Here is a 15,362-nt window from a genome sequence, read left to right as displayed (position 1 = left end):
TACAAGCCAATTATTCGATTTTTAACAAGAATGTCAAGACCATCCAATGGTAGAAAAATAATCTTTTCAACAAATAATACTTGTGCAATGGGATGTCCAAATGCAAAAGAATAAATATGAATGTCTCTCTCTCATCATAAACAAAAGTCAATTTAAAATTGGTCAAATACATAAAATAAGTTGTAAAACTATAAAATTATTAAAGGAACATATGGGATTACACCTTCATGACCATGGGTAAGGAAATGAATTCTTAGATATGACATAAAAGCACATGGAACAAACAAAAGACAAAAACAAATTGAACTTCATCAAAACTAAAAACATTTGCTTTGAAGAACATTAATTTAAAAAACAATTTATAAAATAAAGAAAACATCTGCAAATTATATACCTGATAAAGAACTCGTAAGTAGAAGCCATAAAGAAATCTTAAAACTCAATAATTAAGACAAGAACTCAATCAGAAAATTGGCAAAGTAAATGAATAGACTTTTTCTCAAAGAAAATTTACAAATGGTGAACAGCACATTCAAAGATGCTTGATATCCTTAGTCATTAGGGAAATGTAAATCAAAGTCACAATGCAATACCACTTCACACCTACTAAGATGGTTATAACCAAAAAGACAGGAACTAACAAGTGGTGAAGAGAATGTGGAGAAATTTGAAATCTCATACACTGTTGGTGGGAATGCAAGATTGTTCAGCCACTTTGGGAAACAGTTTGGCAATTTTCCAAAATGTTCAGCATGAAGTTACCATGTGACTCAGCCAGTATCCGTTCCTAAACATTTACCTAATAGGAATAAAAATGTATGTCCACACATTAATTTGTACAAAAATACTCATTGCAGCATTGTTCAAAATAATCAAAGTGGAAATAACCAAATGCCTATTAACTGATGAATAAATTTTTTTAAATTATATATGCATATATAATTTTGTACTGTAAAATAGAATATTATACAACCATAAAATGGAATGAAGTATTGCTATAGGCAAAAACATCAAAGAACCTTTTAAACATTGTAAGTGAAAAGACTCAGTCACAGAAGACTGCCTATTTTGATTTCATTTATACTAAATTTTCAGAGTAGGCAAATCTGTAAAGACAGGAAGTAGATTAATGTGTGTTTAGGGCTGGGGAGACAGGGTTGGGTGAAATTTTTTTTTCCCTGGGGAGTAATAAGAACATTCTAAAATTGATCATGGTAATTATTGCACAAATCTATGAATATAATGAAAACCATTGGCTTACAAATTTTGAATAAGTGAATGGTATGGGATATGAATTATATCTCAATAAAGCTGCTAAAAATAAAAGAAAATTGACTGAGCATGGTGGCTCACGCCTTGAATCCCAGGAGTTTAGGAGGCCGAGGTGGGAGCATCGCTAGAAGCCAGGAGTTCGAGACCATCCTAGGCAACATAGACATAGAGACCTTATCTCTATAAAAAATTTAAAAAATTAGCCCCACACAGTGGTGCATGCCTGTAGTGCCAGCTACTCGAGAGGCAGAGGTGGGAGGATAGCTTGGGCCCAGGAGATGGAGGCTGCAGTGAGCCATGATCACACCACTGAACTCCAGCCAAGATGACAGAATAAGACCCTATCTCAAATAAATAAATAAAAAGTAAATAAAGTGAAATACATTTGTAAAACAAAAATCTCTTCTTATTTTCCTTTCTTTATTTTATTATTCTGATATTAATAAGCATACATTATTAATGGGTATGGATTTAATGAAAAATAATTAGATGATCTAACTTTTATCATGCTATTAAAAATATCATGAAATGAACATAGCTTTAAGTTGTAATTTAGACTGTCTTTTACCTCCAGATCTAGTTGTATGTAATATATTTTAAATTCAATAAGGTGTATTTTGGAATTTAAAGGCAGTATAATTTTATCGTTTCTTTGGAGGCACTTATTTTTATGTTTTGAAGTCTAAATAAGTAAATAAGGGCATTTCAGACCTAGAAAATTAGTACAGCTTAGCTTTTTCAGTGTTTACAAAACAAATCTATACTTAAAATGACTTGTAAGCTATAAATTTTGTTTTCTCTTAGTTAATAACATTATTCCTTATGTTTTAAGCACATGACATGCACCATTTCTGTTTCTATAATCCGCTGACAGTGATGTGAATTTACATTAATTTTAATTGTGTATCATTTTGAACATTTATTTTGTGTCACATTTAAAAATCAACATTTGAAATAATACTATGGTCTACATAGTTGGAACTTAAGAATCAGTGTGAAGGATAAGGGGGAAAATGTAAATGATGAGAGCAGAAAGGTCTTACTTGAGTTGATAGAAATGTATCTGTCTTTAATCTTTCTTTGGGAAGAAAGTTAAATTACTGAAAATCTATATTTAAGAAGTAATTCTCATAATAGGCCACTGCAAAATACTGATATGGGTGATTTTTAGAAAAAAAATATCATGTAGTCTATCTAAACATGAATCTGCTCATAGGGATAGAAATAAAACCAAATATTAAAATATAACTGCAGAAAGGGGGTGGAAGTTTTAAACATAAATTATTGTGGTCATATTTTTATTTCACTTTTTAGATGTCAGCCTGTGTAATGTTAGCTTTCTTCACCAGTGATCTCCAAATTATTCTGATCATATTACATCTGTTGATAAAGCAATTTAGAGTTCTCACTACTCCACCGAACTTTTTACTGTACTGAAATTCCTTTCAAAGAAGAGGCTTAAGTTATGGAACTTTTAAGAGTCTATTTAAAATTGAGTTAATGTCTTGCACAACACTTTGGCAAAAGCACCTTAAGAATTAAGAGAAAAAAGTGATTTTCAATTAGCAGCTTTTTTTATACAATGAGATATCACCTCACACCTATTAGAATAGCTATTATCAAAGAGACAAGCAATAACAAGTGTTAGTGAAGGTGTGGAGAAAGGGGGACTTGTGCACAGTTGGTGAGAAAGTATACGGTGGAGCCATTACAGAAGACGGTATGGAGTTTCCTGAAAAAACTGAAAATAAAACTATCATATCCCTCTTTTGGGTTTAGACACAAAGGAAACGAAGTCAGCACCTTGTAGAGATATCTGCACTCCCATGTTCATTGCAGTGTTACCCACAATAGTCAAGATGCAGAAACAACGTGTCAGTTGACAGATGAGTCAATAAAGAAATTGTGTGTGTGTGTGTGTGTGTGTGTGGACACAATCACAATATAATACTATTTTGCCTTTAAAATAAAAGAATATTCAGACATTGGACAATATAGATGAACCTAGAGGAGATTAAGCTAAGTGAAATTATTCAGATATAGAAAGAAAAATACTGCATTATCTCACTTGTACCTGGAATCTAAATAAAGTTGAATACATAGAATCAGTGTAAGGTAGTGGTTACCAGGGTGGGATGAAAAGATGTAGGTCAAAGGGTACAAAGTTGCAATTATGCAGAATGAAAAAGTCTAGAGACCTAATATACAGCATGAGGATGATAGTAAATAACATTTATTGTATCATGGAAATTTGCTAAGAGAATAGATTTTAGGTGTTCTTACCACAGGAAAAGAAAAGACAGAAAAAGTAACTAGGTAAGATAATAGGTATGTTAATTTGCTTGACTGTAGTAATCATGCACACAACACACACACACACACACACATACATCATATTGTGCATCTTAAATATATACAATAAAAATATTTTTTAAAAAGTTGCAGTGTATAAAGTCTTCTCGTTCTGGTATATTACTCAACTTTCCAAATCGCACATATGCATGATTCCAGATGCCCCCCACAGATGTACACATAACCTTCTAAGCTTCTTGAACTCATTAATACCTTGAAAATTCTATTAGATTCTGGAAAAATACCCATACTGTTTTATTTATGTAAACTATCCTTGTAGGTTATGTTACTGAGACTCCTAAATGTGTTAAAACAGCATTGTATCTTTCTAGTAAATAAGAGGGGACTCCAAAAAGTTCATGGAAAAATGGAATTAAAAGTTAAAAATAGTCTGGGTGTAGTGGCTCATGCCTGTAATCCCAGCACTTTGGGAGGCCAAGGCGGGCGGGAGGTCAAGAGATCAAGACCATCCTGGCCAACATGGTGAAACCCTGTCTCTACTAAAAATATGAAAATTAGCTGGGCATGGTGGTGCACGCCTGTAATCCCAGCTACTCGGGAGGCTGAGGCAGGAGAATCATTTGAACCCGGGAGGTGGAGGTTGCAGTGAGCCAAGATTGTACCACTGCACTCCAGCCTGGTGACAGATTGGGAGTCCATCTCAAAAAAAAAAAAAAAAAAAGTTAAAAATAAAAATATAAACTTTGTTTCTCAACATAAACACTATCAAGTTCAGGATATTTTTATAAGCAATGTGATGTGGTTTGGCTGTGTTCTCATCCAAATTTCATCTTGAATTGTAGTTCCCATAATTCCCGTGTATGGTGTGAGGGACCTGGTGTGAGGTAACTGAATCATGGGGGTGGTTACCCCATGCTGCTGTTCTTGTGATGGTGAGTGAGTTCTCATGAGATCTGATGGTTTTATAAGGGAGTTTCCCCCTTTTGATTGGCACTTCTCCTTACTGTCACCATGTGAAGAAGGACATGTTTGCTTCCCTTTTTGTCATGATGGTGAGTTTCCTGAGGCCTCCCTAGCCCTGCAGAACTGTGTGTCAATTAAACTTCTTTCCTTTATAAATTACTGAGTCTCAGGTGTGTCCTTATAGCAGCATGAGAATGGACTAATACACAATGATACCAGCCATTTAGTTCATCCCTAAAGAATCCAGGGTCCTGGGAATTTAATTGTATGAGCACAGTTTTTTTTTTTTTTTGTATTATTAACTGAAAAAACATTGGTGACCTTTACAGATTTTTTTAAGATTAGGAAACAAGAAGAAGTCAGAAGGAACCAAATCAGGACTACAAGGTGGCTGCCTAATGATTTCCCATTGAACCTCTTGAAAATTGCCTTTGTTTTATGAGAGGAATGAGTAGGAGCATTGTTGTGGTGGAGAAAAACTCTCTGTCGAAGCTTTTCCATGTGTTTTTTTCTGCTAAAGCTTTGGCTAATTTTCCCAAGACACCCTCATAATAAGCAGATGTTATTCTTTGGCCTTCCAGAAAGTCAATAAACCAAATGTCTTGATCATGTGAAAAAACTTTTGCTGTGCACTATTGACTTGTGCACTCCTGCTTTGACTGGGCCACTTCCACCTCTCAGTGGCCATTACTTTGATTGTGCTTTGTCTTCAAGATGGTACTGGTAAAGCCATGTTTCATCACCTGTTATAATGCTTTGAATAAATCGTTCAGGATTGTGATCTCACTTATTTAAGATTTTTATTGAAAGCTGTGCTCTTGTCTACAGTTGATTTGGGTACAAAGCTTTGGCACACGTTGAGTGAAAAGTTTGTTCAACTTTAATTTTTCATTCAGAATTGGTTAAGCTGAATCAGTTGAGATAATAACAGTGAAACAGCAAAAGAACTAACACAACTAACTCCATTTTTGTTTAAAGGGCTTTTAACCATTTCTGTACATAGGCAAGGATAATTTAGGAGCACTAAGATAACATGCAAAAACAACAATCATGTAGTTTTAAAACTAACTCTGGAAAGGAGAAGTATGTAAACCTTTAACAATGTTTTGTTAAACATTTATAGGAACATTGTTACCTGACTAAGGATGAAGAAATTCTCAATCTCCTTGGAACCTTACTGGTGCCTATATGTCTGTGATTGTTGATCACCACTTGATCCAAATTACCTCTTTTTCCCCCTTCTCTAAACATAAAAAGAGCCTGAAATTTGTAGTGACTGAAGATGGTTTTTAGGACGATAGTCCACCATCTTCTTGGTTTGCTGGCTCTCTGAGTAAACCTGCTCTTCCTGCCACCAACTCTGATCTCTCTCAGGTTTGGGCTTCGAGTGGCAAGCAGCCAAACCTGTGTTTGAGTACAAGATGTCTATGGTGTTGGTTATTGTATCTCTTCAATTAGGGCATAAACAAGATTAATTATTTTCCTCACAAATTGAATTGGATGGTCTGCCTCTGCAGGCTTCATCCTCAACATCATCTTGTCCTTTCTTAAAGCAAGCTATCCATTTGTAAACCGCTGATTTCTTTGGGACATTGTCCTCATAAACTTTTAGTAAAACATCAGTGATTTCACCATTCTTCTATCCAAGCTTCACTATAAATTTTATGTTTGTTCTTACTTCAATTTTAGCAGAATTCATGTTGCTCTGATAGAGGGTTTTCCAAATGATACCTTGTTAGTGCCTCAAACTAGATCTTGTTTAGACATCTTAGAACATGTTAGTACCAGTTCTGTTTAGTGCAAAAAATAATTGAAATCCATGCATAGCTTTTTCATAGTATGGATTTTCTACGAAGTTTTTGAAAACTCCTCAAATTAGCAAGTTGTCTATTATCTGATGTTTGTGGATAGTGAAAATAGTTATTTTTCCAAAAAGAAAAATAGAAGCAATTACTTGATTGAGAATACATTGGCTAATTTTATATAATTTATATACAAATTATATAAAATTTGATGAAATTATATAATTTTATATAATAAAATGTTAAATATATATTTTATACATTATATAAAATTATATAATTTTATAATTTTGTGCTATTTACTTGATAAAATGTTATAAATTGTATTTTTTTTTTGAGACAGAGTCTCGTTCTGTCGCCCAGGCTGGAGTACAGTGGCATGATCTTGGCTCACTACAACCTCTACCTCCCGGCTTCAAGCGATTCTTCTGCCTCAGCCTCCTGAGTAACTGGGATTATAGGTGCCCGCCACCACACTCAGCTAATTTTTGTATTTTCAGTAGAGATGGGGTTTCACCATGTTGGTCAGGCTGCTCTTGAACTCTTGACCTCAATCAATCCACCCGCCTTGGCCTCCCAGAGTGCTGGGACTACAGGCATGAGCCACCGTGCCCAGCCATAAATTGTAATTTTAATTTTTCAAGCATAATACAGCATATCTAAATCTTCAGACTGCTACACAATGGTAGCTATAAACTAGAAAATAATCCAGACTTTAGGAGATGAATCAACTTTAGACTATGTTAGGATTGATTTTGATTTTTTAGGTCCATAAAGCAAGCACATACAAAATGAGCGTGGACATTTGCCTTAACGGAATCGTTGTCCCTAGTGTCAAATATTTTGGGAAAAAGCATTTAGGACAGGGAATAAAACTTCTGAAAGTAGGCCTTAAAATTGTGTTTGAAATAAAAATCTTTCCTTTACCTGGGACCTGAGGTCAGTTTATTTGGGTTTTGAAGGCCTGGAGTAGTTTTCCTGGTCTAGGATGTGGGATCCATGTGGAAAATAAGATTATGACGCCCTAAGGTGTTGTGGGGTTATGCAGTAGCTTTACTTTATTGGATGTGCCTGTGTGTTTCTGTTATCTTAAATGCTCAGTAAGTTCTTGTTAGTTGTACCTCCCACTCTAAGTTGTTTTATGGGATGTGAGATGGTCAAAAACAACTTTCTAACTGCCTAGGAGAGCATTGCATCATCCCACCACAGAAACATACCATGGATACTCCTGGAGACAATCAAAAACAGTGTGAGGGATAGCAGCAATCATTAATGAAAGGCAGCTTTGAGCAGCAAGGTGGCAATGCCTCAGGGATCTTGTGTTGTAATGTTGTAAAGGCAAGAAGGCTAGAATCAGAAGACTTTCTTCTAAAAAACTCAGATATAGCTAAAAAACCCCAAAATTGTTAGGTTAAATCCTAGCAATTTTGCTGATGGACAATTGTGATATCATATTTCAGGTAATTTTTTTAAAACATTTTTATAGAGACTGGATCTTACTATGTTGTCCAGACCTGGTCTCAAACTCCTCAGCTCAAGCAGTCCTCCCACCTCAACCTCCCAAAGCGCTAGGATTACAGGCATGAGCCACTGTGGCCAGCCCTGGTTCAGGTATTAAACAAAAGGACGAAGCTATATTTTTACAGAAAAAAACTCTGTTTTTCTAGTATAATGGTTAGAAGTATTGACATACATTTTAGTACATAAATAAATCTGAACTGAACTAATTTTTCCATTAAAAAGAAAAGTTATTATGGATCCTGTAAGACAATCATAAATATATATTATTTTCCAACATTCGGAAGAAACCATTTCCCAATTGCTCACCAGTCTTACAATAGCCAAGATAAAATTGCCTTAGAATAACACAAACATCCCACAAACTTTAATTTACTTTTGAACTTTTAAAACTGGAAACTTGAAAACTTTGAGGAGCTAATGTGCTGCATACAGAAGAACGTGAAATAATGATTTTTGAGAAATTTAATCTGTAAATGTTACAGTGTGTCTCCGTTCACATTTAGTAAGCCATTTCACAGTTCAAAGATTTTACTGTGTAAGTTATTTTTACTTATAGTTCTCCTCACAGGTAGGAAGCAACTTAGGGCTAACTGAAATATGCATTTTAATTGTTCAGCTCTTTCCCAGTTTTGTCAGCTATTTTACTTAGTCTATGCTTTTATGAATTTATTTTTTCCGTGGTGAGACAATGAAAGAAAGGGAAGTCCAATCAGCTTAAAACATAGATGTATAAGATTTGAATGAATGTATTTAATAGAGTAAAACTCTTAAAATAGGTTCATGAAGCATATACTTCCCAAAGGAATTCAAATACACTTATGTCCTGTAGAAAAACATTCATTTGAGGAGACCAGGTGTTTGGGAGTTGTTTTACACTGGACTATGCTTGAATCATTTGAAATCTAATTAAAGCACTTTTTCTGGTTACACACTAGCTTTTAGCTTCAAAGTTCTTTAGAAATAGCAGGTAATCTTCTTCCTGTCACGTAAGTGGAGGATGAAATGGAAGCAAAGAAGTTAACTTGTTTTTCCAATGCTACAGAGAGAAGTAGCAGCAGGCAGGCAGATTTCCAGTATTTCCTGCATCACTTCAATTCCCTGTGTTTTCATATAATACGTTATAAGATTCAGTAGATGGTAGCAAAATAACTGCTTGTGTTAGCCTGTTTTCACACTGCTGTAAAGAAATATCTGAGACTGAGAAATTTATAAAGAAAAGAGACTTAATTGACTCACAGTTCCACATGTCTGGGGAAGCTTCAGGAAACTTACAATCATGGCAGAAGGGGAAGCAGGCACATCTTACCTGGTGGCAGTTGAGAGAGAGCATGTGTGAGTGCAGGAAAAACTACCAATTATAAAAGCATCAGACATCGTGAGAATTCACTCACTATCATGAGAACAGTGTTGGGGAGACTTCCCCCATAATCCAATCACTTCCTTCCCTCAGAATCACTTCCCTTTCTGGACATGTAGGAATTACAAGTCCCTCCCTCAGAACGTGGAGATTACAATTTGAGATGAGCGTTTGGTGGGGACACAAAGCCAAGCTATATCATTGCTGTTTAAACTTTCTCAGTTGACATTTTCACTGAACATAAAGTCAATGTTCAATAAAAAATATTTCTAAATTGCAGTGTTCAAAGAAAAATTTTAATTTTGTTTTATGGTAAACCCCATCAATAAGAACAAGTAAATATATATGTATATATATTTGCATATACATAATGTAATATATATGTGCATTAAATATTTATGTATATATACACATATATATGCAATATTTATATGTAATTCATATATATATACATATATGCATTATAATGTTATGACTTATTAGGGCTTTAGAAATTGCTGATTCTCCATAGAATCACAGTGAGAATTTTTGTTTTTTCACAAGCATTACTTCAGGCAGGAAAATGCAAGATTTTTATTACCCCAGTTGAGTATACTAGGCATTTTGTCATAGTATTAGATACAATTTATTAGCATTAACACACTACAAACGTGTGTTACCAGAGTGTATGATAAAAAAAACAACCCTGCGGAATATGCCCCAATAAATAATTTACATTAAGGTCATAGGGCCCTTTTATCCTCCAACACCAAAGCAGAGTGCTAATTTGTTCCAGTTGATAACTCAAATGTCATTTGTCCTTAAGGCCCTCTTAGCATTATCACAAATATATGAAGAAACAACATTAGATTTGGTAAAAAGAGAAATGTATCTAAGGTTGACAGATCTATGTATAATAGTTTAGGGATTATATAATTGTGCTAGTTATGTCTCAATATCCATTATTTAAATTTTCCATTTATTCTATTGAGGCTAAATTCTGGGATTCTGGGAAGTTCACAATCAAGGTGTCAGCATTCTCTGTGTTTGGCGAGAGCTTTTTTCCTCATACATGTCAACTTCCAACTGTGTCCTCACATAGCGGAAGAAGTAGCTAGCTCTCTTTTCAAGGGTACAAATCTCTGTCAGGAGATTCTGCCCTCATGATCTAATCACCTTTCAAAGGCTATAGCTACTAATACTATCAGATTTGGAGTTAGATATCAACACATGAATTTGGGGTGGGGTATGCAATTATTTAGACCATAGAACCTTTAGTTACAGATAATCCAAATTGTACTTAGACACATTGGCAGGTATATAATAGACACATGCAAAAACAAACAAACAGAAATACATAGATCTCTACAAACATATACATACCATGTTTCTTTGCCTAAGAAATAATTTCATTTGATTTTAAATTGCTTTCTATATATTCAAATATCCACATAAAACACATCTTTAGAAAAATATTCCATATGTATAAATCATCTAATATTAGCTGTGATGTCAGCCAAATAGATATAAGAAATAATTTTTTTGGTTCATAATTTATTTTAATTTTAAAAGAGAGTTAGAAGGGCAAATATTTTCTTTGGATTTTTCCAAAGAAAATCCCAAAGAAAATTCCCTAGAGGCCTCATCTATTAATCAAGTCTGACTATAATATGCTACAGTAACAAACCATCTTCAAACCTCAGTGGCTTAAAACAGTAGTTTACTTTTCCTCACATTACCTGTCCAACACGGGTAAAGAGAGAGTTTGCGCTACTCAGTCCACCTGGCTTGATGGAGGCTCTGCCATCTGTAGCAGTTTCCTCAGTAGTTAGCAGCAGGGTAAGAAAGAGCAGACAATTACAGATTGGCTTTTCATTGCCTCACCCTGGAAATTAGGAATAACATTTTTGATTGCTTAAGCATATCAGAGTCATATTGTTTGCATGGACCATTTTACACTTCAGACTTAAAAAAAGATAAAAAGGTAAATGTGGTCAACAAAGAAAAACTTTAATGTTTTTGTAAGGCATATGATTAAAGATAAATATGTTTAATATAAACTAAAAATTGTGAAGTATAAGTTTGAAAATCCTTGATGAACTAATAGTATATAGAAGTGAAGAGTATATGTAAAGATGACCCTCTTATAATTAAGTAAGGTTTATCCCAAATATGCAAGGAATGTTAGGGCATTTACTAGTTATATTACTAACTAGTATATAATTTACTAGTTATATTAGTAAAATATATAACTTTGAGAAATAAGATAAAATAAATAATGCACTAATCTGATTCTTGAAATTTTAATAAAATCTAGCACTGATATCTTATAATTATTAGACAAGACAGGTAAATATTTTAGTGTGCTATTCAATATCATGCCATTCAATATCATGATTAAGCAGTCAACAGGTTAATTACATTAATATTTTTCTTCATTTATTCATTCACCTTGGTCTAATTCATTGACATTACCAATATGCCTTGATACACTACTGTGTGGTAGAATCTGTTTTAGGTTCTAATAGTTCCTGCTTTTATGTCATTTACATTCTAGCTGGGGGAGAAATATTAAAGTGCTGTGAAGAATATAAAACCCAGCAGTAGGATGGAAAGTAAGTGAACAGTTACATTAGACAAAGGTGTCCATCAACCTCTGTCTCAGGAAGTGATATTTAAGCAAAGACCTAGATAACAAGAAGATACTGAAGTATGATTATAGATGAGATTTCAGTATAGTTCAAGGACAATTCAGGTAACATTTTCAGATAATAAAGAAATAAAAGAGAAACAAAAAGCTCACTTGTATTTTAATATTGAGATAAAATCTCTGCCCAGTGAAACAACATGTAAAACAAAAATGTTATCAATATTAGAAACAAATTAAGAAGTCAGAAAATGTAGTGAAAGTAGAGTTTCAATACATGAGAAAAACTACAATTGTAATAGAGAAACAAGCTCACTCTTTTGAAAACCTCAGCCTGCTTCTTCAGAGGCAGGGTAACTAGTCCTACAAGCAGCAGTTGGCATTGGCTCCTTGACTCTCACGGAGAGAACAAAGACCATACTATTCACTCAGATAATTTGTGAAATATATGCATTCCCTTTCATTAACTACATAAAACCAGAATGAACATAGTAATATCAAAAGGTTTGATGTTCAACTTTTGTTAAAGGTCAGGTTGAAAGAACTGATATATTTAAAAGACACTTGCAGTTTTTAATTGGACTACTCCTTATTTTCTTTCAGTTTCTTTGATGCAGGCCAAATGAACCAAAGGCTGACTACACTGGCCACTTTGTTTTTCTCCCCACTTCAAACTGTGACAATAAACCTACACTTTAGCACCATCACATTGACTGACATTAAAGACTGTTGCAAAAATCAAATCTAACAAGCAACTATCTATACCACCTGTTATTAAAAAGATGTAGCTAGCAACATTTTTCACATCACTAATTTGGCTCCACTATGAGATCCATGTCTAAAATTTCTTCTTAACAAAGGCCTTGGAAATGATTTTTTTTCTTCTGAGAAATCAGTGCAGTGTGAGCCTGATGGATAAAGTGAGTCACATAGCTGAAAATGTATCTATTTTGTTTAAACTAGATTTGCAGTTCAACTTTAGTTTTGTAGAACATTGGCTAACATACCTAAATTATGTATTTCTCCTCATGTTTAGTTGTTTCTTCTTTTTGTATTTTTTTATTCTAATTTTCTTATCAATTTTTTTCTCTTAAATTGCCTTAATTTATTCAAGACTTCTCATATCTTATGTGAAATCAAGTGGATCATAATAATATAAATAAAGCAGAAAACTATTGCAACTGCCACTTTTATTCTTTCAGGCATAAAAAAGAATGTATGAATAAAATCTCTCATGAAAAATACAAATAAATTTTATGAAGATAATGTTTCTAGTGCCAAGTCTAATTTTGAAGTACTTGGAATATGGCATAGAATTCAAATATTACGTTGTGGATCAGGGTCTTCAAATATAGTGTACTAATATAAATAGGAGAGGAACTTCCAGATAGCTCAGAAATTTACATTTTTAACAATATTTATACAGAAAGAAGGAACAGTCTTTTCTCTCTTTGCAAATTTTCAGTTAAATCTCCTATAATTGTCATACTATGGGGAAACATGTAAAAAATCTTGTGACCGGAAGAGTAAGTCTTGGGCTGTGAACCTTGCAATTCATTCAGTAATATTTTTGCAAGGCTTTCAGTGTTTATTATCCTTTAGTTAATCTGGGTGTCTAATTGCCCCTTATGTCCCACACTAGCCAATAGAATGTCTACTGAAATTCCACAATTTCTGCATACAAGCTATTCTCAGATACTGAATATCAACATTTAATAAGTATGAAATCCTAAATTACGTGGATAAGCAGTAATATTTATAAATCTTGGAGCACAATGGTGAAGAAATACTGATCAGGGTGATTTTGACTATAAATATCTGCTTCTTATGTGATGAATCCAGATTATCTCCCACAATTTGGATTGAAGCCACTCTTAGACAAATTTTAGCTCCTGTTCATTAATGGATTTAATTTAATTCTACTATATAACTCAATAGAATTTAATTTTGAGCTTCAGCCAAATGACTCTGAAGCTTATCAGGTACAATAAGCAAATAAGACTTGCAAAAAGAATTTTAATGTGGAAGGGGGGGCATTAGCCATCTCAGAACTAATTTTAATAATATGAAGCTGATATAAAATTAGAGTGACAGAGCAATAAAACAGAATTGATAGCTAGGAAATAAGACCTATTATGTATCAGTTTATTACATGATAAAAGAGAAAGCACAAATCAAGGAGGAAAGGAATTTATATTAACTAGTATTGAGGCAATTGGCTAAATACTTGGAAAATTATTAATTTATGATAATAAAGTTATAGTCATATCTTTCAACAAAAAAGTATTCTAAATGAACAAAAATTAAATCATTTTGGGTAGATTCCTTTTTATTTAATAATAGAAGACATTAAAAAGCAAAAGATGGATACACTTTACAAAAATTTAAAACTTGCATATGTAAAATAGTGTCAAAATCCACAGATCAAAAAGATGGGAATACATTTATTGTAACGACATACATTATTTATTACATAAAAAGTATGTACACAGCAAGAAGATGCAAACACTTTGACTTTAATTGAAAAGTGAGCAAAGATAATGAACTTCTGATTTCCTTAGTTAGTTATACAAGCAGCAAACAAACACATAAAAATGACCTGCCTCCCTACTCAGAGAAAGACAGCTTAAAACAGTCAGAAAAAAAATGGCATAGGCTTGTAAGTGTTAATAAGACCTTATTTTGAGAGTGGTAAGTGGAATATTATTTTATAAAGCAGTTTGATAACATGTATCCTCTTTAAAATGTTTCTTTGTCTATCCTAGAATTTTTATAACTGCTTAATGATACTGAGAAATAATCATTAATTGGAAACATTAATAAACAAAAACTATATTAAATGTAGTTTTCTGTATAACAGCAGCTTTTGGAAACAGCCTACCTTTCCAAGGACAGGAAAAAGGCTAAGTACATTGTGATGAATCAGTTTAATAAAATTGCATATAGCCTTTGAAAATGTTAACTGTGGTTAGGCAATGTTATTGAAGTGCACTGGGAAAATGCTTATTAGCTGAAGATATTAAGAAAAGAAGGACCAAAATAATATCTAATATGATTTCAAATACAGTCACGCACCACATACCATTTTGCTTAAGGATGAACTGCATACACGATGGTGGTTCCATAAGATTATAATGGAGCTGAAAAATTCCTATCTCCTAGTGACACTGTAGCCAAGGTAGCTGTTGTAATGTCCTTACATTACTGTTTGTGGTGATGCCAGTGTAAACAAAGTTAGTGTGCTTCCAGTCCTATTAAAGTATAGCACATACGGTTATGTACTGTACATAATACTTGATAATGATAATACATGACTATGCTGCTGGCCTACATATTTACTATACTATACTTTTTATCATTATTTTATTTTATGTTATTTTATTTTATTTTATTTTTTTGAGACAGAGTCTCGCTCTGTCGCCCAAGCTGGAGTGCAGTGGCACAATCTCGGCTCACTGCAAGCTCTGCCTCCTGTGTTCACGCCATTCTCCTGCCTCAGCCTCCCGAG

General features: G+C 33.6%; 2 long non-coding RNA genes across 2 annotated transcripts in view; one reads left to right on the top strand and one right to left on the bottom strand.

Annotated features, from left to right (window-relative positions):
* LOC105378339 (uncharacterized) overlaps positions 1-15,362 on the top strand; it is a 145,924-nt gene that overhangs the window by 113,935 nt on the left and 16,627 nt on the right. The gene's annotated exons all lie outside the window — the stretch shown is intronic.
* The window catches only part of LINC01515 (long intergenic non-protein coding RNA 1515), a 195,117-nt gene continuing 190,783 nt past the window's right edge, over positions 11,029-15,362 (bottom strand). Inside the window, exon 6 of the long non-coding RNA NR_120647.1 lies at positions 11,029-11,092. This is a non-coding gene — a long non-coding RNA (long intergenic non-protein coding RNA 1515). The remainder of the gene's footprint in view (positions 11,093-15,362) is intronic.

The sequence above is a fragment of the Homo sapiens genome, chromosome 10 (genome assembly GCF_000001405.40).
Source record: "Homo sapiens chromosome 10, GRCh38.p14 Primary Assembly".
Lineage (NCBI taxonomy): Eukaryota > Metazoa > Chordata > Mammalia > Primates > Hominidae > Homo > Homo sapiens.
This window is presented reverse-complemented; position numbering and strand designations above follow the sequence as displayed.